Below are 19621 nucleotides of genomic sequence, written 5' to 3'. Positions count from 1 at the left end.
TCCCTCAACAGCTCTGCCTGAAAACAGCCATGCATGCACAGGAGGAAAGGAACTTGATAGCCTTGTGGCCAGTTCTGTGGCCGCTTTATCAAACTAAAGCTTTTGCAAATGGCCATGCTTTAAAATTAGGAATTTCAGAACCCAGGGAAAGGTCGATTGGTGGCTAATGCCAATTCTAATGAAAAGTGGATTGGTTGTCACAAATGTAGACTAGCATCCTAAAGGCAAATAGGCGGCGACTCACAGGCTGACTGAAACACGTGTTCTCCGGGAAGCAGGGCCCCGAGTCTTCTCTGACACCCTCATTGCTGCACCTGCCCCTGTGCCCGCGGAGTCCATGCGGTGCAGCCTGGCACAAATGCAGCAGTCGCTGGGCGTCCCGAGGCCACATGGAGAACCTCCCGGCTGGCGGACTGCTCCCAGCTGCGACCATCGGGCCCTTGGCCTCTGCGAAGCCGGGGCCATTTATAAGATGACACTGAGGGAACTTTGGATTCAATTCTGAGGCATTCTTCGAGATGGACACTTGTAAATGAATGCAGGCGGTTTCCGGTGCCCCCTGGCGACGGTGCAGCCTTTCCCCCATCCGCGCTCCCTCCAGCTCCAGCCGTGCGCAGCCGGCCCCGGCCAAGTGGGGCTGCCGCCGAGTGCGCCCCCTCCCGGGACGCCCACCCTCGTGCCGGGGGGCGGTGCTGCGGCGGCGCGGGGCGGGCCGCGGGGGCGGGGACGCTGGGCGCAGGAGGCGCGGCCGGGAGCGCCGCGCGCCGGGAGCGGGGCGGCGGGCGCCGGGGCTGGCATGGCGTGGCCCTGTATCAGCCGCCTGTGCTGCCTGGCGCGGCGCTGGAACCAGCTGGACCGCTCCGACGTGGCGGTGCCGCTCACTCTGCACGGCTACTCGGACCTCGACAGCGAGGAGCCGGGCACGGGCGGCGCCGCCTCGCGCAGGGGCCAGCCTCCCGCGGGCGCCCGGGATTCCGGCCGGGACGTGCCGCTCACTCAGTACCAGCGGGACTTCGGCTTGTGGACCACGCCCGCCGGGCCCAAGGATCCGCCGCCGGGGCGCGGACCGGGGGCGGGCGGCCGCAGGGGCAAATCCTCCGCGCAGTCCTCCGCGCCACCTGCGCCCGGCGCCCGCGGGGTCTACGTGCTGCCCATCGGCGACGCGGACGCGGCTGCAGCAGTGACCACGTCGTACAGGTATGGGCTGGGTAGGGACCGCAACGAGTCCCCACCCTGTGGTGGGAGGACGCGGAGGCCCGGAGCCAGAGGGATGGGGTGGGCGGCAGAGCGGAGGCGCCTGGAGCCCGGATCCCACGCGACCTCGGAGCTGCCGGCGGCCTCAGAGGTCACCCCCGTTTGGTCCGTGGGCACTGCAGGCGGCGCCTTCGCTGCTCCATGCCCGGACTCAGTGCTCGAGCACCCCCGTGCCGGGAGCGCACCGCTGCCCTCGCAGCCGCCCTCCTGGGGGCAGCCGTCAGAATGGCCTGCCTTCAGCCGAGTTGGAACCGGCCTCCCTTTAACTCCCACCGCCGGGCCTAGCCGTGCGAGGGGTGCGCGCAGGCCATGTCCCCCAGCTCTCTCCGGTCACTGCCTAGTGTGCGGGCGTTGGTGGTGAGGACCGAGCGCAGGGTCCCGTGTGGGTGAGCCCTTCAGAGTCCCACTGTGACAGGGGCTTTCAGGGAGAACGGGTCCGCGGGCCCTCCCCACCTCCCAGCCCAGCTCTGCTCCTGGACAGCCGAGGGCTTTCTCCCTTTTTTCCTCTTACCACAAAAGTAATTCATACTGTAGAAAAATGGGAAAGTACAGAAATTACAACAAAATACGTATCTCCTTGATCCCTCCCCAGACGAGTTCTTTCTACTCCGTAATGTGCATTTGGTGCATATGCACTGATATATTTTTACGTGGTTAGATTCTTACTGTACACTTTTTTCACCAGTTGTAGAAGTCTGTCCGTGTTACTACATGTTCTGCAACATGAATTTTAATAAACGTGCAGTATTTTATCCTATGGATATGCCTTTATATCTTCAAGTTTTATTTATCTACTTCCTTACCATTGACTATTTAGGGTGTTTCTAATGTGGGACTATTAAAAGCACTACTTTTCCTTTGATGCAGCTATTTCACTACTAGGAATTTTCCCTACAGGTATCCTACAAGGTAGGGTGGGAGCTCAGGAGCGTAAGATAGGTGGAGACATTGTACAACAAACCCCTTGTCCTGCTGATGTAGGGAACTGGTTAATTATAGCACAGCCATGAAATGGGATACTGAAACCCAGCGGATCTTAAATATACGCATACCAAAAAAGCAAGGTGCCCAGCAGCACGTAGGCTATTTGTGTTTTAAAAAGGGGTATTAATATACACACATATGCTCAAATAAGCACAGGATGCCCTGATGGATGTCTGAGGAGATGGTACCGTTAGGGAGAGGAACTTGATAGGGACTGCCAGGGGTGGAAGGCTTTTCACTCTGCTCTTTTGAACGATTGCTTTTTTTGCCTTTGTAACATGTCCATGTATTGCCTATCTTTTTAACTTTTTTTTTTGGAGACGGAGTCTCGCTCTGTCACCCAGGCTGGAGTGCAGTGGTGCAATCTCGGCTCACTGCAATGTCTGCCTCCCTGGTTCCAGCAATTCTCCTGCCTCAGCCTCCCGAGTAGCTGGGATTACAGGCTTGTGCCACCATGCCCAGTTAATTTTTATTTTTATTTTTATTTTTGATTTTTTTCTTTTTTGAGACAGAGTCTCGCTCTGTCGCTCAGGCTGGAGAGCAGTGGCGCCATCTTGGCTCACTGTAACCTCCGCCTCCTAGGTTCAAGCAATTCTTCTGCCTCAGCTTCCTGAGTAGCTGGGATTATAGGTGTGTGCCATCACGCCCAGCTAATTTTTTGTATTTTTAGTAGAGATGGGGTTTCACCATGTTGGTCAGGCAGGTCTTGAACTCCTGACCTCATGATCCGCCTGCCTCGGCCTCCCAAAGTGCTGGGATTACAGGCATGAGCCACCATGCCCGGATGAGGGACTCCTTCTAAAAGCTAAGCCAGCCAGGCATGGTGGCTCACACCTGTAATCCCAGCACTTTGGGAAGCTTAGGTGGGAGGATCACTTGAGCCCAGGAGTTCAAGACCAGCCTGGGCAACATAGTGAGACCCTGCCTCTACAAAAAATAGAAAATTAGCTGGGCGTGGTGGTGCCTGCCTGTGATTCCAGCTACTTGGGAGGCTGAGGTGGGAGGATCCCTCAAGCCTGCGAGGTCGAGGCTGCAGTGAGCAGTGTTTGTGCCACTGCACTCCACCTAGGCAACAGAGCAAGACCTTGCTTCAAATAAATAAAAGCTAAGCCTCTGCTAGAACATCCCTAGTAAAGAGGAGCCCAGCGCCATGCAAGTCAGCTCGCTCCATGGGCAGACTGTTGTAACTGACAGAAAGCGCTTCCTTCCCGGAGCTGAAGCTGTCTCCCTGCAAGCTCCACCCCTTGCCCTGCTCTGGTGCCTAGAACTTCAGCCGCTGGAATGCGCTGCACGCTCAGGACCCCTGGCCTTCCAGACTCTCCGCTATTCAGGCCCCTCCAGCTGGCTAGTCTAGGGCCTGAGCGCTGCGGCTCAGTGTTGCCCACTCCAGCTTTGGCGGCTCAGCTTGAGGACGTGTCAGTGAATGCAAGACCCACCCTGCAACCACTGTCCCCCAGCGAGTTCCTTACAAAGTGCCGACCTATGAGGGAGCCTCCTCCTGGGGACATGGAATGTTCTTTGTGTCTTGATAATGGTGGTGGTACCCAAGTGGTTACATTTGTCAAAAGTCATCCAGCTGTATGTTTTTAATGGATGAATTGTATGGTTTGGAAATAATGCCTTGATACAGTTGGGTTTTTGGGGGGTTTTTTTGTTGTTGTTTGTTTTGTTGTTGTTGCTGCTGTTGCCCAGGCTGGAGTGCAGGGACATGATCTCAGTTCACTGCAGCCTCAACCTCCCAGGCTCAAGTGATTTTCTCACCTCAGCCTCCCGAGTAGCTGAGACCACAGGTGGGCACTACATGTGGGGTTTTGTGTGTGTGTGTGTGTGTGTGTGTGTGTGTGTGTGTGTGTGTGTGTGTGTGTTTTAGAGATGGGGTTTATGTTGCCCAGGCTGGTCTCAAATTCCTGGGCTCAAGCGATCCTCCTGCCTCAGCCTCCCAAAGTGCTGGAATTAAAGGCATCAGCCACTGTGCCCAGCTTGGTTTTTAAAACTAATAAAATTGGGGGGATAAGTTCATACTTTTTGGCTCTTTAATTCCACAGTTAGGAATTTATCCCAAAGAAATGATGATATGAACAAAGATTTAGCTGTAAGGATGCTTATCACAGAAGTTACTTTTTTTTTATTTTAAAGTTAAAAAGAGGCCGGTCGCAGTGGCTCACACCTGTAATCCCAGCATTTTGGGAGGCCGAGATGGACGGATCTCCTGAGGTCAGTTCAAGACCATCCTGGCCAACATGGTGAAACCCCGTCTCTACTAAAAATATAAAAATTAGGCCGGGCGTGGTGGCTCACCCCTATAACCCCAGCACTTTGGGAGGATGAGATGGGCAGATCCCAAGTTCGAGACCAGCCTGGCCAACATAGTGAAACCCCATCTCTACTAAAAATTAGCTGGGCGTGATGGCACGCACCTGTAATCCCAGCTACTCGGGAGGCTGAAGCAGGAGAATCCATTGAACCCAGGAGGTGGAGGACGCAGTGAGCCGAGATAGAGCCACTGCACTCCTGCCTGGGCAATAGAGCGAGACTCCATCTCAAAAAAAAAAAAAAAAAAAAAAGCAATCCCTCATCTGTGTGGAACATGTGGTGAGTGAATGTCCTGCCGGGCCCTCCCAGCTCTGGTGACGGTGAAGGTACTAGCTGTCGCCTTCTCTGCTTTAACGCACACCAGGCTCAGCACTCCCTGAGGTTAGCCCCCTGCAGCCTTCGTGTAGTGCTTGCCGTCCCCATTCTACAGACAAGGAAACTGAGTGGCTGGCACAGCTCTGAATGGCAGAGAAGGGAGTGGAACCCGTGTGACTTGCCCCAGAGATCAAATTTGTAGCCCCCATGGGTTTTCATCCCTTAAGAGCTGCCTCCTTGGAGTCACTTGCTTTCTTGAACTGTGTCCTGAGGCCAGCTGTGGAAAAGCCTTGACAGACAGGAGTCGGGGCTTGTTGGGGTTCTTACCTCCTGGTGTGTAAATTCAGGTGGGTCAGCCTCTCTTTTTTTCTTTTTTTTTTTTTTGAGACGGAGTCTCACTCTGTCACCAGGCTGGAGTGCAGTGGCGCCATCTCGGCTCACTGCAACCTCCGCCTCCCGGGTTCAAGCGATTCTCCTGCCTCAGCCTCCAGAGTAGCTGGGACTACAGGCGCCCACCACCACACCCAGCTAATTTTTGTATTTTTATTTTGTATTATTTATTTATTTATTTGAGATGGAGTCTTGCTTTGTTGCCCAAGCTGGAGTGCAGTGGCGCAACCTTGGCTCACTGCAACCTCCGCCTCCCGGGTTCACGCCATTCTCCTGCCTCAGCCTCCCGAGTAGCTGGGACTACAGGCGCCCGCCACCATGCCTGGCTAATTTTTATGTATTTTTTTTTTTTACTAGAGACGGGGTTTCACCGTGTTAGCCAGGATGGTCTCGATCTCCTGATCTCGTGATCCGCCCGCCCCAGCCTCCTGAAGTGCTGGGATTACAGGCATGAGCCACTGTGCCTGGCCTAATTTTTGTATTTTTAGTAGAGACGGGGTTTCACCATGTTGGCCAGGATGGTCTCGTTCTCTTGACCTCATGATCTGCCCGCCTTGCCCTCCCAAAGTGCTGAGATTACAGGCGTTAAGCCACCGCGCCTGGCTGGGTCAGCCTCTCTGACCCTTTCTTCATCCGAAAAGCAGGAATAGCAAGAGCTTGGCTGCCTGGACCCCTGCCCCCAATTCGGGCAGAAACACAGGATCACTGTTGAACTTGACCCTCCCAGCGCCATGCCAGTGGGCCTCTGGGACCCCCACCTTCCAGCTCTGGGACCTGATACAAGCCACTCCCTCCAGCCTTGTCTTGTAAGATGTACATCATCTAAGCAAACTTAAGAAATTCAGAAAGCCAAGGAAACGAACAGAGCCAGGAATCCTGAAGATGTGAGGCCACTCCTAACTCAAGGTTCTTGAGGGAGTACCCAGGATCCCCGGGCCTCAGCTTCTTCACCCCTGCAGGACCTGCCTTGCTGGCTTCTGGTCTGCACGTGAGTTGATCTGCCTTGCCTGCCTGGCCACATGGGCACAGCAGGTCCTACCCACATCCAGCCTGGCTCCTTCCACCTGACAGGCCCCCTCTGAATTCTCTCTGGGCCATTGGGCATCTTTGGCCCAGTTGCTAGCCCCGCCCACTTCTGGAAGGCAGTCCTTGCTCCCTGGTTGCTTCCCTCCTTCCTGCCTAGGTGGGGCAGTTAAAGGGCTGATATTCAAGTTCCACAAGACTTGGCCCCACTTTACTGAGTGCCCGAAACGAAGACTCACAACAGCCTCAGGCACATGGGTCAGCAGCCCCACTTTTCAGAAGAAACTGAGGCTCAGGGAAGTTGAGGAATGTGTCTGAAGCCATGTTGGGCTGAGAACCCAGGCCTCCCAATCCTCTGTCCGGGGCTGATGCCGGAACATGCTTGAGCACTGTATGGGGGCACAGCAGGCAGGGAGGCCTGTATTTCTTACTAATCTTGGCCTGAGCCATGAGTCTGTTTTCTTTCTCTCCAGGCAGTCACCGGGTCCTGCCCATTCCATCTTTAAGGTCCCCTCTCCCATCTGGGCTCCAGCCCCGGGTTCCTCCTCTGGCGGCCGCCAGGATTGCTGTCGTCTGTGGCTCTGGTGGCTTCCTGCTCTGAGACCCCTGCAGCCACCTCAGGGCAGCGGGCTCAGGATGCCAGGCCCAAGGCTCAGCGTGGGCATGTGAAGTGTTTTGGGGACAGAAGGGCGCGCCCAGGGGAGGACCTGCTTCCGCAGGAGGAACAGAGCAGCATATGGTTTGGGCAGCTGGTCTTCAGAAGCTCGCGGCTTCGGGAGTGAAAATTACCTGACGGGGCCCCGGCCTAGCTCTCCTCCTGGCACCCCAGTGCTGGCCATGGACACAGCCATTCCCTGCCCACGCAGCCTGCCCAGTGGTGCCCCAGCTTTGCAGCTGCCAAGGAGAAAGGCAGCTTTGTTGACCTCAGGGCCTGAAGCCCAACCCCGGCAGTGTCCAGCCTGGGCAGGAGCAACTCCGCACACGTGGGTGCCAGGCCCAGCTAGCTGGACACTTCCACCTTGGCCAGGTGCTCCTGGGACACAGGGACTTCTGCCTTCTGAGCTCCCCATCTTGCAGAGGAGTGGGTAGAATTAAAGGAGGTCCCTTTTGTTCAGAGAAATGGAAGCACTGTCTTTTCATGGAGAAAGCTGCTCCCGGTACATGGAGCTAGCGGTGCCAGCCTCATCCTCTCCCTCCAGGGCCCGCCTTCCCCCATCACACCACCCTCCCCGCCACAGGCTCAGCAACAGCGCATGATCCACTCCCTCCACCATGCACAGAGCTGTGCAAAGGCCAGGCCACCTTGGAGTCTTTTGAGATGGTCACTGCGATCCATTCTTCTGCATGAGTTAATGAGACAAAGTATAAAAAACTAAAAGTTCTGAGCCTTATTTTTCTTTTCAGTCTTAAGCGGGTCTGGCAAGCCAGGGCTGTGCCCGGTGCTGAGGGCATTTCCTCTTCAGGCATAAGCAGTCACCATGACCTGGGTCTCTTGAAGCAGCCTGGCTCTGGAGGGGCAGGTGTGGGAGAATCGCAGGGGGTGCAGGTATAGCACCGGGGCTGCTCGTCTCCAAGACCCAGCAGTGCCAGGTGCTGTTGCGTTCTGAATGAGACCCAGGTGCTAACTGAGCTCTGCCCTGACCCTGCCGCTCGCCTGCAGTGTGAGAATAAGCTTCCTCTCCTACTTCCTTAGGGACCGGGGTGAGCCCAGATTTCCCAGTGGATCGCTGAGGTGAGGGGCCAGGCAGCCACACACCTTTCTCCTGGAGCTGGGCCTGCACGGGAGTGCACTTGCCTTGCCAGTTCTGTCTTTGGGAAGATGATGAGGACTGCCTGGAGCCGAGGGTTTCAGCAATTGGCAGGGCCGTGCATGGGGCAGAGCAGCAGCCCCTGGGGAGTCGGTAAAGGGGTGGCTGACCCTGTGCAAGCTTGTGACCGTGTTCTCTGTTCCAGACAGGAATTCCAGGCTTGGACTGGAGTGAAGCCCTCAAGATCCACAAAGACAAAACCAGCCCGAGTCATCACAACCCACACTTCGGGATGGGACAGCAGCCCTGGGGCCGGCTTCCAGGTCAGCCGGAAGCTGGTGTAGCAGGGGTGTGGGTATAGAGGCCTCTTTCCCCGGGTAGGGATTAGGAGCCAGATTTTCATGGTGTAAAATGCAATTATGACCAGGGACAGCAGTGCCAACCAGATGTCCCGAACAAAAACCCAAGGTACTTCCTCATCAGTAGCCAGCTGGGTGGCCCTCTAGCGTTGGCCTCTCTGGTGAGCAGGGTCTCTCTGCCTCCTAAATCCCCATCTTACCCTTGGCCACTGAACGCTAGTGACTGGCCTGAGTACCACAGCATTTGTGTAAGAGGAAAGAGACGATGGAAGGGAGTGGGGGCATCTCAGCTCCGATTCCCAAGTGGTTCAGGGAGCAGAATGGAAGGTCCGTGTACCACTCAGCTGCTAATGCAGTGACGCCTATGGCTCACGGTGGGCAAGTCCCCTCTGACCCTTCAGGTCTCAACTCCTGGAGGATGCAGAGGATGGGAGGGGATTTTTTCCTGGAGCTGGGTAGTGGGGAAGAGTAGGGAGTTAAGGAAAAGTCCCACTGATATGTGGCCACACTTCATTTTTCAGGTCCCAGAGGTGAGGAAGAAGTTCACTCCTAACCCCTCCGCCATCTTTCAGGCCTCAGCTCCCCGGATTCTCAACGTGTGACTGCCTGCACCGTGACACCATGGCTGCCGACAGGACAGGGCTGGGGAGCGGCCTCAGGACCCACTGCCGCGGGGCTGGGCGAGAGCATGGCATGGGCCCCTGCGGGAGGGCACAGCCCCTCTCAAAGCTGTCACCAGGGCCAAAGTGCTGGTGTGGAGCAGATGCACCGATGGACTTGGCACACCCAGCTCAGCCTCAAGCATCCTCTTGAGAAGCCTGTGGAAGGCTCCTGCGTTCGTTAACTGCCATCTGGCCGTCTCTCAGTTTTGAAATCTCTGAGGAGCCTGAGGATCAAGTCAGTTGGGAACCGAATTGGTCCATGGAAGCTGAGGAATGTGGACACATCCGGCCCTTGAAAGAACCAGTTATGTCCACTTTTGGTGGATTTCCCAGGATGCGTGAGCACTTGATTAATTTCATAACCTACAGTGAGACCCTTGGCTCTTCCTACAAATGGCCCCTGCAGTTGAAGCTGTTGGAATCTTGGGCCGTCACCTGCATGACTCATGGTGATGCTGAGTATCCAGGAGGAAATTTCCAGAAGAAACAGACCGTCAGTCACGGGCTTCCACTTCACAGACCTCCTTATGGCCAAGATGAGCCTCATGTTTTAACAAAACAGTTCTTGGGATTGAATGACTCACATTTACCTTGTGCTAGGTTCTAAAGATTGAATCCACATTTTGTTACTAATGATTTTCCCGCTAACATAAGGATGATGAGCAGGGCACTATCATACACACTGGCTGAGAACTGGAACTGTTTTTGGGAAGGTGGCATTTGTCTCATTCCCTGAAATACCTTAAAATGTCCTCTACACCAACCCTTCCGTCTACCCTGCTCACATGTACAGTGACGGGGAACTCACCACCTTTTGAAGAGGCAGTTCATTTTCTTTGCAAAGCTCTCTCCTAACTTCCTCCGTAAATTCCAGCCAGCATGGCCACATGGGTCACGCCTGGTGCCTTCACACGTTTGAGGGGTCTTCGTCTCTTTTTAAAGCTTAGAGGTACAAGCTCAGGACAGTCTTCAGTAAGGAAATTTGTGGATTTCCCTTTGGATCTTTCTTCCTCTCCAGCCCACAAGTGGCTCTAGTGAGACGAGCATTTAAGCTGCAGGTGGTGGCACTCGGGTCTCAGAGCCACCAGACGTGCAGGTGGGACAGTGGTTCCAGCTCCGACTGCCTGTCAGCGTCCCTCCCAGGTGCTAGCCCTGGCAGGCACAGCCCTCCCCTCATGCCAGCAAAGGAAATGCTCTTGATGAGAGGCTCGCTTTAAAGAAGCCCAAAGCGTGTGCTTATCCAAGGGGTTCAGCTATTCCTGACTTCACGGCTTGCATGTTTGATTTTTCTAAGAGAAAAGAGGCTGCCTGCTGGGTGTCTGTGGAAATGAGATTAAAAACTGTACAATCTCAGATTTTACTAAAATGCAAAAATGTAGTTTCAGTTTCTTAAATTATAAGCACGAGTCTTCTCACGCTTGTTTTCTCCAGTCTCTTGGTGCTAAGGACTTCAGTGTGGTGCAGCTGCCGCCACACCTCAGAGGCCTGTTGATGCTGAGCACTTCTTGCTGTGGGGTGCAGAGCACATGTGGTAGGTGCAGCCCACAGAACCCACCCGTCCCCTACCCTCACCCAGGCGCCTCTCTCTGAAGCTCCTCAGGCTCTAATCCCAGCTTCACTTGCTACCTGTGAGCAACTGGGGTTCCGTTTCTTCACTGAGAAGTGACGACGCTACCAGCTACACCTTGTGGCTTGCCAAGAGCATCCGTGTTTATGGGTGGGGTGCTCAGTACAGGAAATAACTGAGGCACAGGTGTTAGGATTATTCTTTCCTGCCTTAGTCCCCCCTCCTCACTTTCCCTGGGAGCCAGCTGTGTTCCCACCTGCAGCTCCCAGCATCCTCTAGCTTGATGCCGTGTGCTCCCAGCCCCTCACCCCCCCTGGCCAACGTCACCCTGCACAGCGCCCAGATGCTTGTTTGTTCTTTTCCTATAATGGGCTGGTCAGCTCTGCTGCAGCTCAGCCAGGACCAACCGGGCCTGCCCCTTCCTGGCAGTGCTGGTGGGGCAGCCGCAGTGGAGGCCTCACCACACCAGACAGGCCTGACTGCAAGACAAACAAACAGATGGTCAAGAGCCTCTGCAATGCACAGCAGACAGCTTTTCACAGACACCAACTCCAGTGTTGCTCTGAGGGTGCATCATCATCGAGGCAGGGTCTTGCTTTGTCACCCAGTGGTGTGAACACTGCTCACTGCATCCTCAACCTCCTGGGCTCAAGTGATCCTCCCGCCTCAGCCTCTCGAGTAGTTGGGACCACAGGGGCATGCCACCATGCCTGGCTTTTTTTTTTTTGGCTGTCACCCAGGCTGGAGTGCAGTGGTGCAATCTCGGCTCACTGCAACCTCTGCCTCCCACGTTCAAGCGATATTCTCCCACCTCAGCCTCCCGAGTAGCTGGGATTACAGGCGCCCACCACCATGCCCAGCTAATTTTTGTAGAGACGGGGCGTCATGTTGGCTGGGCTGGTCTCGAACTCCTGACCTCAGATGATCCTCCCATCTCAGCCTCCCAAAGTGCTGGGATTACAGGCGTTGAGCTATCACACCCGGCCATTTTTTATTTATTTTTGTACATTTTGTAGAAACAGGGTCTCCCTATGGTTGCCCAGGCTGGTCCTGAACTCCTGGGCTCAAGCAATCCTCCTGCCTCAGCCTCCACAAAGCACTGGGATTGCAGGTGTAAGCCACTGCACCCAGCCTGGCCTCTTTATGAGGAGATGTGGGTTATGCTGAAACTCCTTCCCACTCACTTAGGTCTAAATAATCAGGCCTAACATGTTCAGCAAGTGACCCAAGAAGCAACTGAGACAGACAAGTCTCAACCATGTGGTCCCAACTCATAGCTATCTATCAATCATCTCTCACACACATACATAATACGCATATAAGACTGAAAGAAAGGCACTGAGAGATGTTAGCAGTGATTATCTTTCAGAGGAGGAATTATGAGTAGTTTTTCAAACACATTTTTTATGCTTGCTAAAGTTTCTGTAAACATTTTTATAATAATTCTGTAAAGAAAAAGTTCTTAAAAATAAAAAGCAAGCCAGGCATGGTGGCTCATGTCTGTAATCCCAGCACTTTGGAAGGCCAAGGCAGGTGGATCACTTGAGGTCAGGAGTTTGAGACCAGCCTGGTCAACATGGTGAAACCCTATCTCTACTAAAAATACAAAAATTAGCCAGACGTGCTCACTTGAACCCAGGAGGCGGAGGTTGCAGTGAGCTGAGATCGTGCCACTGCACTCCAACCTGGGCGAGAGAGCAGACTCTTTTTTTTTTTTTTTTTTTTGAGACAATGGAGTCTTGTTCTTGTCACCCAGGCTGGATGGAGTGCAATGGCACGATCTCGGCTCACTGCAACCTCCGCCTCCCAGGTTCAAGCGATTCTCCTGCCTCAGCCTCCTGAGTAGCTAGGATTACAGGCACCTGCTACCACGCCTGGCTAATTTTTATATTTTTAGTATAGACGGGGTTTCACTATGTTGGCCACGATGGTCTCGATCTCCTGACTTTGTGATCTGCCTGCCTCGGCCTCCCAAAGTGCTGGGATTACAGGCATGAGCCACCGTGCCCGGCCCAGACTCTGTCTCTAAATAAATAAAAAGCAGTTCAACATGTTAGCAAATTCCAGACAAAAGAAAATGTTAACTTTTTAATTATTTCACAACCCAAGCTGCCACTGCGGGAGCTGCCTCAAGCAGCCACGGGCTGCACTATGACGCTCTGCAGGTGGAAAGTCCTAAAGATCCTTCCGCAAGTCGAGGGGGTTTGCAGGCATTTAGAACAAGGTCTCGCCTCTCTGTGCTCCATGGTACAGAACTCCAGGACTCAGGCCACGTTCCCAAAAGCAGCTTTTGAAAAAAGCTAGGCCCTGCAGCCCACCCCAGACAAATGGAAGAACCTCCCCTTTGAACAGGGTCAAGATGATGATGAAGCCCCAAAGCCAGTTCTGTTGGCCCCGTTCACACAGGACTCCTTCCATCAATAACTTGGAGTCCAAGTCACGTAAGGTACTGCCTGTGACACTGATCTGAGCCTGCTCTCGCTCCTGCCAAAACCTTGGCTGAGACAATGAACATTTATGAAGGCAAGCCTAGGCACACCCCTCTCAGCCATCAGACTCTTTGACTCTCCATTATGACTCTCAGCAAAGTCTGGTCCCCAGAAAGTTACATACTTGGACTGTATCATAATGCCTTTGAAGAACCAAAGCTTTCAAAATCTTTCAGCTCTTACGTTTCTGGATTTTTCACTATTTCTGAGCCATATGCTAGCAGATGGTCACAGCATAAGGACCGTGTCACAGGAGTGACTTGTTTCAGTCCTCAACACAGTCCAATTTTACCCTGCCAGATAACCCGGTATGTTTCTTTGTTAGACACGAGGAGCTGATTCTCTCTCTGCCTTGGCTTTAAGGAAGCTCTGAGCTCATTTATGCAGTTTTCTTTTGCCCCAAGCTGTCAGGAATAATTATGTCCATTTCCAAATTTTTTTTAGACTTTTATGTAACTGTAATCCTTTATCTTATACGGTTGCAACATTTTTTTTTTTTTGGCAAGAAGTAGAGGAATTAATTTAAACATATCAATAAGACTCTACACCATCACCTCATCCCAGTGCAGGGAGAACCCTGCCTGAGTACCATGCTTCAAACTCAGAAACACCCACCACAAATACCAAAAGATTTATTGTAGACAATTTTGTTACACAATTATACACATTATGATACACGTTTGAAACATTAACACACGTGGAGACTGCTAAATCATTTAATATTTCTTTTGCAAAAAGATAATTTCTTTAGGCTGTGATACCTGCAATAACCAATCTGTTCTCATTTGGATCAGATCTTTCTCCCTCTGTCCTGGAGATCTCACAGTTCACTTTGCTGAAGCAATCTATCCACTTCCCTATCGACCTTGCTTATAGCAGTTCAGGTATAGACTATTTGAGCCTTATATACTAAACTGTTAAGCCAGTGCGTGCCCTATGCCCTGCTGAGAATAGATTCCTTCTGTACTTGCAGCCCTCAGATGCTGAATTGATCAATCAATTTTTGAGACGGGGTCTCCTCTGTCACCAGGGCTGGAGTGCAGTGGTATGATCTTGGCACACTGCAACCTCCGCCTCCTGGGTTCAAGTGATTCTTCCTGCCTCAGCCTCCCGAGTAGCTGGAATTACAGGCACACACCACCATGCCCAGCTAATTTTCTGTATTTTTAGTAGAGACGGGGTTTCACCATGTTGGTCGGGCTGGTCTCGAACTCCCAACCTCAGGTGACCCACCCACCTCGACCTCCCAGAGTGCTGGGATTACAGGCGTGAGCCACCATGCCCGGCCCAGATGCTCAATTTAAAAGGCAGAGTTTATTCAGTCACTCCCCGCCTTACCTTCCTGACTCAAACATCTACAGGACCCATGAAAACAGGAATTACGTTGCTTGGGTAAGTTTCTCTGACTCTGACTCACAGGTTTCCGATTTTCCTGGAGCAGAATAGAACAGATTTCTGACTGGGCATGCATTCTTTGTTCTGCCTTCCACACAGGCTGTGTTAGGAAGTCTGAGATGGGGCGCCTCCAATAGACCCGGGCACCTGGCAGCGCCACCTTCTCCTGCCTGCCACTCCCTCCCATCGAGGGGGCCTCTGCTTGTGGACACAGACTAATCTCACTGCTTCTGGGCACTGGCATCCTTATTTCTGGGCATGGGCAGTTACTTCTCCAACTTTAAGGCACTCACTGGTATTTCTTTTAAATACTTTTCTTCTTGGGAAAAACTCCTTAACAGAGAAGAGTATATACAATCCACGGATAGGACAGACGACCCCAGAAGAGCCTGCCGGGCGCCGCTCCCCACTGGCCACTCAGCATGGGGTCAGCAGCAGAAGCTCCTGCAGGCCATGCAGATGGCGTGGAACCTGCGATCTGCTTCGCACACATGTGTAACGCTGCTACACTTCTGCCAAGTGTCTGGGACTGGTGCACACAGTCTATTCCTAGCATAGTGAGTTTTCTTGGTTATAATCAAACCTCTTCCTGACTCCTGTTGGGACCTCTCCGTCCCTTGCCACTGCTTTGACAATGGTTCTAGTAATGCTCTCGTGCTCAAAAAAGGAATTCTGCTCAGTCTGCCGTCTCTCAGGCCTTCATGGTTCTTGGCTCTAGGTATGGCCTCTTCCTATAGCTGACTCACTTGGGCTCAGAGTACAGCCCCTCCACACCAAGGCCAGGCATGGGAGAGAACCACCTGCTGAAGGCTGAAGCCCAATCTCTCTTCAGGGTAACTGCTGGAGCTACTGGTAACTCCAGCCCACAAAATGGGTGAAATCTCTAGCCTGCCACTCATTTTCTACCTCCTGGGGAGGCGGGCCCAAGGAGCCCCCTTAAGCACACCCAGGGAGAAGGGCCTGAGGCACACGGCCTGGCCCGCTCTCGTGGGGCCTTTACAAAGACTGCAGAAACGCTGGCCGACAAAGCACGGATCCACTGACAGCCTCACTCCACACTCAGGAAACAAACTCCTGTCCTAGGAGGATTTCATCTGGAGTGCAGCGTGCTGGTGACACGTGGGAACAGGCAGCGGCAAAGGTTGGGTAGCCATGACATGCCGAGTCACACTGGAAACCACCTCCTTCCCGAGCAGCAGGGTCCTCAGTTACAGCTTCGCTGTGCCTTCAAAGCCTGCTTCTCCAGGGCACCTCACTCCGCTCACTGGTCCTCATTCAATATTCCCATGTGTTTGTTTGTGAGGAAGTCCAGAAAAGGAATGTTGCAAATGGCCTGGTGAATATTACTCACTGTAATTTCTTTGGGAATCCTGGTCCAAAAAACAAAGGGTGTTACCAGGTGAAATTCTCTCACGTATATCTCATCATTTATTCACTTAACTCATCACAGGGACCATCCCAGGCAGAGGCCCCGTGGAGAGGGCTCCTGAGCCACAGACATAGCTTAGGGCCACTCTGGGGTGAGGACTGCCTTCCTGTCATAGGCATGAGAAGGATGTCAACAAGTTGGTTGAATAATTAGGAAAAAAGATTCTGAGAACTGAGAAAAGAGAAAGAAAACAAAGCGGATGGCAGAACGGAATGACACATTTGTGAGTGAGTCTCAGCAGACCGAAAGCTGAGTCAAAGCACCACAAAACTCTGGGACCTTATTTCCCATCTCCTAGAAAGACGGGAGACGGAGCCACGCCAGGCCAGGCGTGATGTTAATCGTTCCATCAAAAGCACCTAAGTCACTCTACCCCTCCAGGACAGGGAGCACAGAGGTAAGCAGGGGCCACAGGAGGCCCTGGCTCACTTGTGGGTCCAAGCAGGACAGTGGGCAGCAGGACCGGAACTCTTGGTTCCCCTTCCTTTTCTCTAAAGACGCCTATGTTGTCTGATATATTCCTGTGAAGTTTCATCTACTATTCCTCTGATTTAGGCCCTTCATGTCCTCAGGCACTTTGCTACAATTTTATAAATCTGTGACAGCCTTTAGCATAATGCAATAAAATAATATTTGTTTCCTCCGAAAGAAAAGCAGATGTGGCCTATCTACCATCCTTTCAGGGCCTAGGAACAGACTGAAACTCAGTGTCTTAATCAAAGACAACGAGTCAGCAAAGAGCAGTGGCGAGCCCAGGGGCCTCAGAGCCAATGAGACCTGAGTCGGAAGTCCAGGTCTACACTGTATTTGCTGGGTAAGCTGGGTAAAATTACCTTTCAAAGCCCGGTTTCCTGATTTTTAAAAAGAGAATAATAGTTCTGCAATGAAAAACAAATTAGGTAATATATGCAACGCTTGGCCCTCGTGTCTGACATGTAATGGACACTGTTATCTTTAATTGCAAAGCTAATATTTATTCAACCCTGTAATAAAACAGAGTCCTAGGTGTCTGTGAAGTAATGAGGAGGATATAAACCTCTGAGCAAAGCTGAGTGAGCTTTCACAACCATGAGGTTCTCTAAAAATGACAAAGCAGACCCTTGAGCTCATCTGGCTCTAAGAGTGTCCTAAGCACTCACTCCATCTCCTACTGGATTGATGTAAGTATAAAACACCTTCATGGGCAATTCAACTGTTAGGAAAGAGGTGTAAGCCTCACACCACAGACTGCAGAGATAGTAATACCTGTTGTGAGAAGCTGTCTGGTATCCAACTGCCAAAGCCTGTCTCAGGATATCATTCACCAGCTGTTCTGTAGCCTACAATGGAAGATGCTGTTATTCTTCAAATGGCCATCTGCTTGCTGGCAAGAAGGGACACATTTAACCCCATCCCTTACCCCAAATGTTTGAAACCACTGCAACTAGGGATTAAAAAGTCCTTAAGAAAAAATTAAAGGCCTCAATAATAGACCATAATGATAAAGGCCATGATTCTGAGAAATTATGAATTGGAGTGATTTTCATTAATCAGACATTATTCTATTTATTTATTTATTTTGAGATGGAGTCTCACTCTCGCGCCCAGGCTGGAGCGCAGTGGCGCGATCTTGGCTCAGTGCAACCTCCGCCTCCCGGGTTCAAGCGATTCTCCTGCCTCAGCCTCCCAAGTAGCTGGGATTACCAGGTGAGCGCCACCAAGCCCAGCTAATTTTTTATTTTTAGTAGAGATGGGGTTTCACCATGTTGGCCAGGCTGGTCTCCAACTCCTGATTGCAAATGATCCACCCGCCTCGGCCTCCCAAAGTGCTGAGATTACAGGCATGAGCCACCGCGCCCAGCCCTAGACATTGTATTTAAGGAAAGCAGTTGTTACGGAGGTATCCCTATTCTTGGAGAGGATCCACGAGGAAAGGAACTGCTGAGCTAGGATCAGGCTGGGGAAGGAGGCTGCGGCATTTTCGTCCCCTTGCCAGGGTCAGGACAGTTGGGGCTGTTTGCTGTTGTGACGTGTACAGAAAACCATAGGCTTTGTCTCTGCCACCTCCTAAAGCAACGAGCACACTGACCACCACCCCCAGAATACGTCTTAGGAGGCACCTGAAACCACATGACTCAGAGGAAACATAACTTAGTCCATTTAAAAATCAGAAGGAAAAAAAACAAAAAAACAAAAAGAGAGAACTTAAGCCCAAATAAGACGAGACATTTTAAAGCCTGTTATCTTTGTTCCTTTTCTGTCCTTGCCCCTTACTCCAAACCGCCTGGGATGCAACCATCCTTCCTGGCTGGCGGCCCCTGCAGGCACCCACCTTCAGGATCATGTCCTCCACCACGGACGCATACACGTTCCTGTGGAGTGCCACGGGCTGCAGGGTGATCCCAATCTGGAAAAGCAGAAGAAAGCCGTTTGTTCGTATCGCTGCTTTAGAAACAGCCTCTCTCCAAACAAGCATACCTCCCTGACATGCAAAGCGATGCCTGGTTGGAAGGAGGACTCTGCAAACATATTGGGCAAAATTCACGGGAAAGGAACACGGAATATAACATCTAGAAGAATGTTATCTTGTTTTTCCACATTTCTGGCTGATATTTAAAATATGACTATAATCCTATTAAAATCTCTCAAATCTCCTTCGTGGGAGAACATGGTTGGGATCTGCCTGGGTTCTGATACGCAATCAACACTTTGAAAGGTCTGGAATCAGACTCCAACGTCCTGTTTGCACTTGGAAACTGCATCTTGCCCATTCTTCATGGCATCCAATGAAAGCACACTGTCTTTCACCTTGGGCCCTGAGCAACTGGCAGATGCTGAAGAGCTGTTAGGCTCCAGCAGGGTGGATAAATACCTCTCTCCTGTATAGTAAGGCAGGTGCACGCCATCTGCACCACAGGCGGGGCACTCAGGAGCTATCAACACATCAGGGGAGGATTACGCGCTGACGTGCAACTCAGAAAGAGTACGACGTGCCTCATGAGGGAAAGGTGCTTCTACTGAGGCAGATGAGAAAAACAAGATGAAGAGTAATCAACCATTTCTATCTAGCCAGCTTTGCTTCACGTCTGCGTTCAACAAGCAATGTTTTCACATGTAATTAGCATTTCTGCCCAAGGGCTCTGATGTGGGACGGTGGGAGCCCTGAGAGCACACCTGGGTCAACCAGGCAGAAGGAAGTCAAGCATCTACGGCACCAGAAGAGTCTGGGTCTGAGTCTGTGTCTGTGAGGCTGAACACCTGGGTCTGGGTCTGTGAAGCTGAACGTCTGAACATCTAGCTCTGAGCTGGTCTGCTGCATGAACTATTAACACCACAACCCCTACCTTCTGTGTGACATCCCCAATAAATTCAGACCCTGGGGTTGGTGGCAGGTAGAACTTGACTTCCTCTTGTTTCTCTTCCTGCTCCTTCTTGATGTTTATCTTCACTGGCTCGGAGAGGCTGAGGATGTCCACCTCCTCCTCATTCTCGGGTTCCCTTTTCTGGAACTGTTGCAGGTCCTCCAGTTTGCGGCAGAGGTTGTCAGCAGAGGAGAATGATGATGGGCACTCTAAATGACAGGCAAGCAGTGTTACAACAGCTGTGGGGCCAACGGAAGAGGACTTTCCGTCTCCAAGAGACCCATGGTCTGAGGAAGGGGGATAAGCATCAGGGGAGCTGACCTTCTTTCCAGTTCTAACATTCTATGGATCT

At 52.2% G+C, this 19621-nt stretch overlaps 2 protein-coding genes and 1 long non-coding RNA gene across 16 annotated transcripts in view, besides 5 other annotated features; 2 read left to right on the top strand and 1 right to left on the bottom strand.

The window, feature by feature from the left end:
- Positions 560–909: a silencer, noted in NCBI's record as "silent region_14950". NCBI's record gives its function as "represses an Ori minimal core promoter by ATAC-STARR-seq in GM12878 lymphoblastoid cells {active_cell/tissue: GM12878}" and the evidence as "EXISTENCE:reporter gene assay evidence [ECO:0000049][PMID:35858748]".
- Positions 767–10422, top strand: MAP6D1 (MAP6 domain containing 1). Its single transcript, NM_024871.4, has 3 exons — positions 767–1197; positions 8233–8350; positions 8908–10422. The coding sequence occupies exons 1-3, from the start codon at positions 797–799 to the stop codon at positions 8986–8988; spliced, it is 600 nt and encodes a 199-aa protein (NP_079147.1). The 5' UTR covers positions 767–796; the 3' UTR covers positions 8989–10422.
- Positions 970–1039: a silencer, noted in NCBI's record as "silent region_14949". NCBI's record gives its function as "represses an Ori minimal core promoter by ATAC-STARR-seq in GM12878 lymphoblastoid cells {active_cell/tissue: GM12878}" and the evidence as "EXISTENCE:reporter gene assay evidence [ECO:0000049][PMID:35858748]".
- Positions 1060–1189: a silencer, noted in NCBI's record as "silent region_14948". NCBI's record gives its function as "represses an Ori minimal core promoter by ATAC-STARR-seq in GM12878 lymphoblastoid cells {active_cell/tissue: GM12878}" and the evidence as "EXISTENCE:reporter gene assay evidence [ECO:0000049][PMID:35858748]".
- Positions 8112–8723: an enhancer, noted in NCBI's record as "H3K27ac-H3K4me1 hESC enhancer chr3:183535409-183536020 (GRCh37/hg19 assembly coordinates)". NCBI's record gives its function as "activates a minimal SCP1, AML or CMV promoter by ChIP-STARR-seq in primed H9 embryonic stem cells {active_cell/tissue: H9 hESC(primed)}" and the evidence as "EXISTENCE:reporter gene assay evidence [ECO:0000049][PMID:30033119]".
- YEATS2 (YEATS domain containing 2) overlaps positions 13720–19621 on the bottom strand; it is a 114828-nt gene continuing 108926 nt past the window's right edge. For all 14 annotated transcript variants that reach the window (XM_047448527.1, XM_047448528.1, NM_001351370.2 and 11 more), the window contains 4 exons: positions 19252–19478; positions 18240–18314; positions 17174–17247; positions 13720–15869 (listed from right to left, as the gene is read on the bottom strand). In XM_047448527.1, the coding sequence (XP_047304483.1) occupies positions 15761–15869; positions 17174–17247; positions 18240–18314; positions 19252–19478 (485 nt within the window). In that variant the 3' untranslated portion in view covers positions 13720–15760. The remainder of the gene's footprint in view (positions 15870–17173; positions 17248–18239; positions 18315–19251; positions 19479–19621) is intronic.
- Positions 15511–16710: an enhancer, noted in NCBI's record as "CDK7 strongly-dependent group 2 enhancer chr3:183527422-183528621 (GRCh37/hg19 assembly coordinates)". NCBI's record gives its function as "activates an origin of replication core promoter dependent on BRD2, BRD4, P300/CBP, MED14 and CDK7 cofactors, with strong dependence on CDK7, by STARR-seq in HCT116 cells {active_cell/tissue: HCT116}" and the evidence as "EXISTENCE:reporter gene assay evidence [ECO:0000049][PMID:35650434]".
- On the top strand, positions 15893–19280 carry YEATS2-AS1 (YEATS2 antisense RNA 1). Its single transcript, NR_046727.1, has 3 exons — positions 15893–16325; positions 17492–17614; positions 18232–19280. It is a non-coding gene; the product is annotated as a YEATS2 antisense RNA 1 (long non-coding RNA).

This window comes from Homo sapiens, chromosome 3 (genome assembly GCF_000001405.40).
Source record: "Homo sapiens chromosome 3, GRCh38.p14 Primary Assembly".
Taxonomy (NCBI): Eukaryota; Metazoa; Chordata; class Mammalia; order Primates; family Hominidae; genus Homo; species Homo sapiens.
Note: the sequence above shows the minus strand (reverse complement) of the source record. Positions and strands in the feature narration are given on the sequence as shown.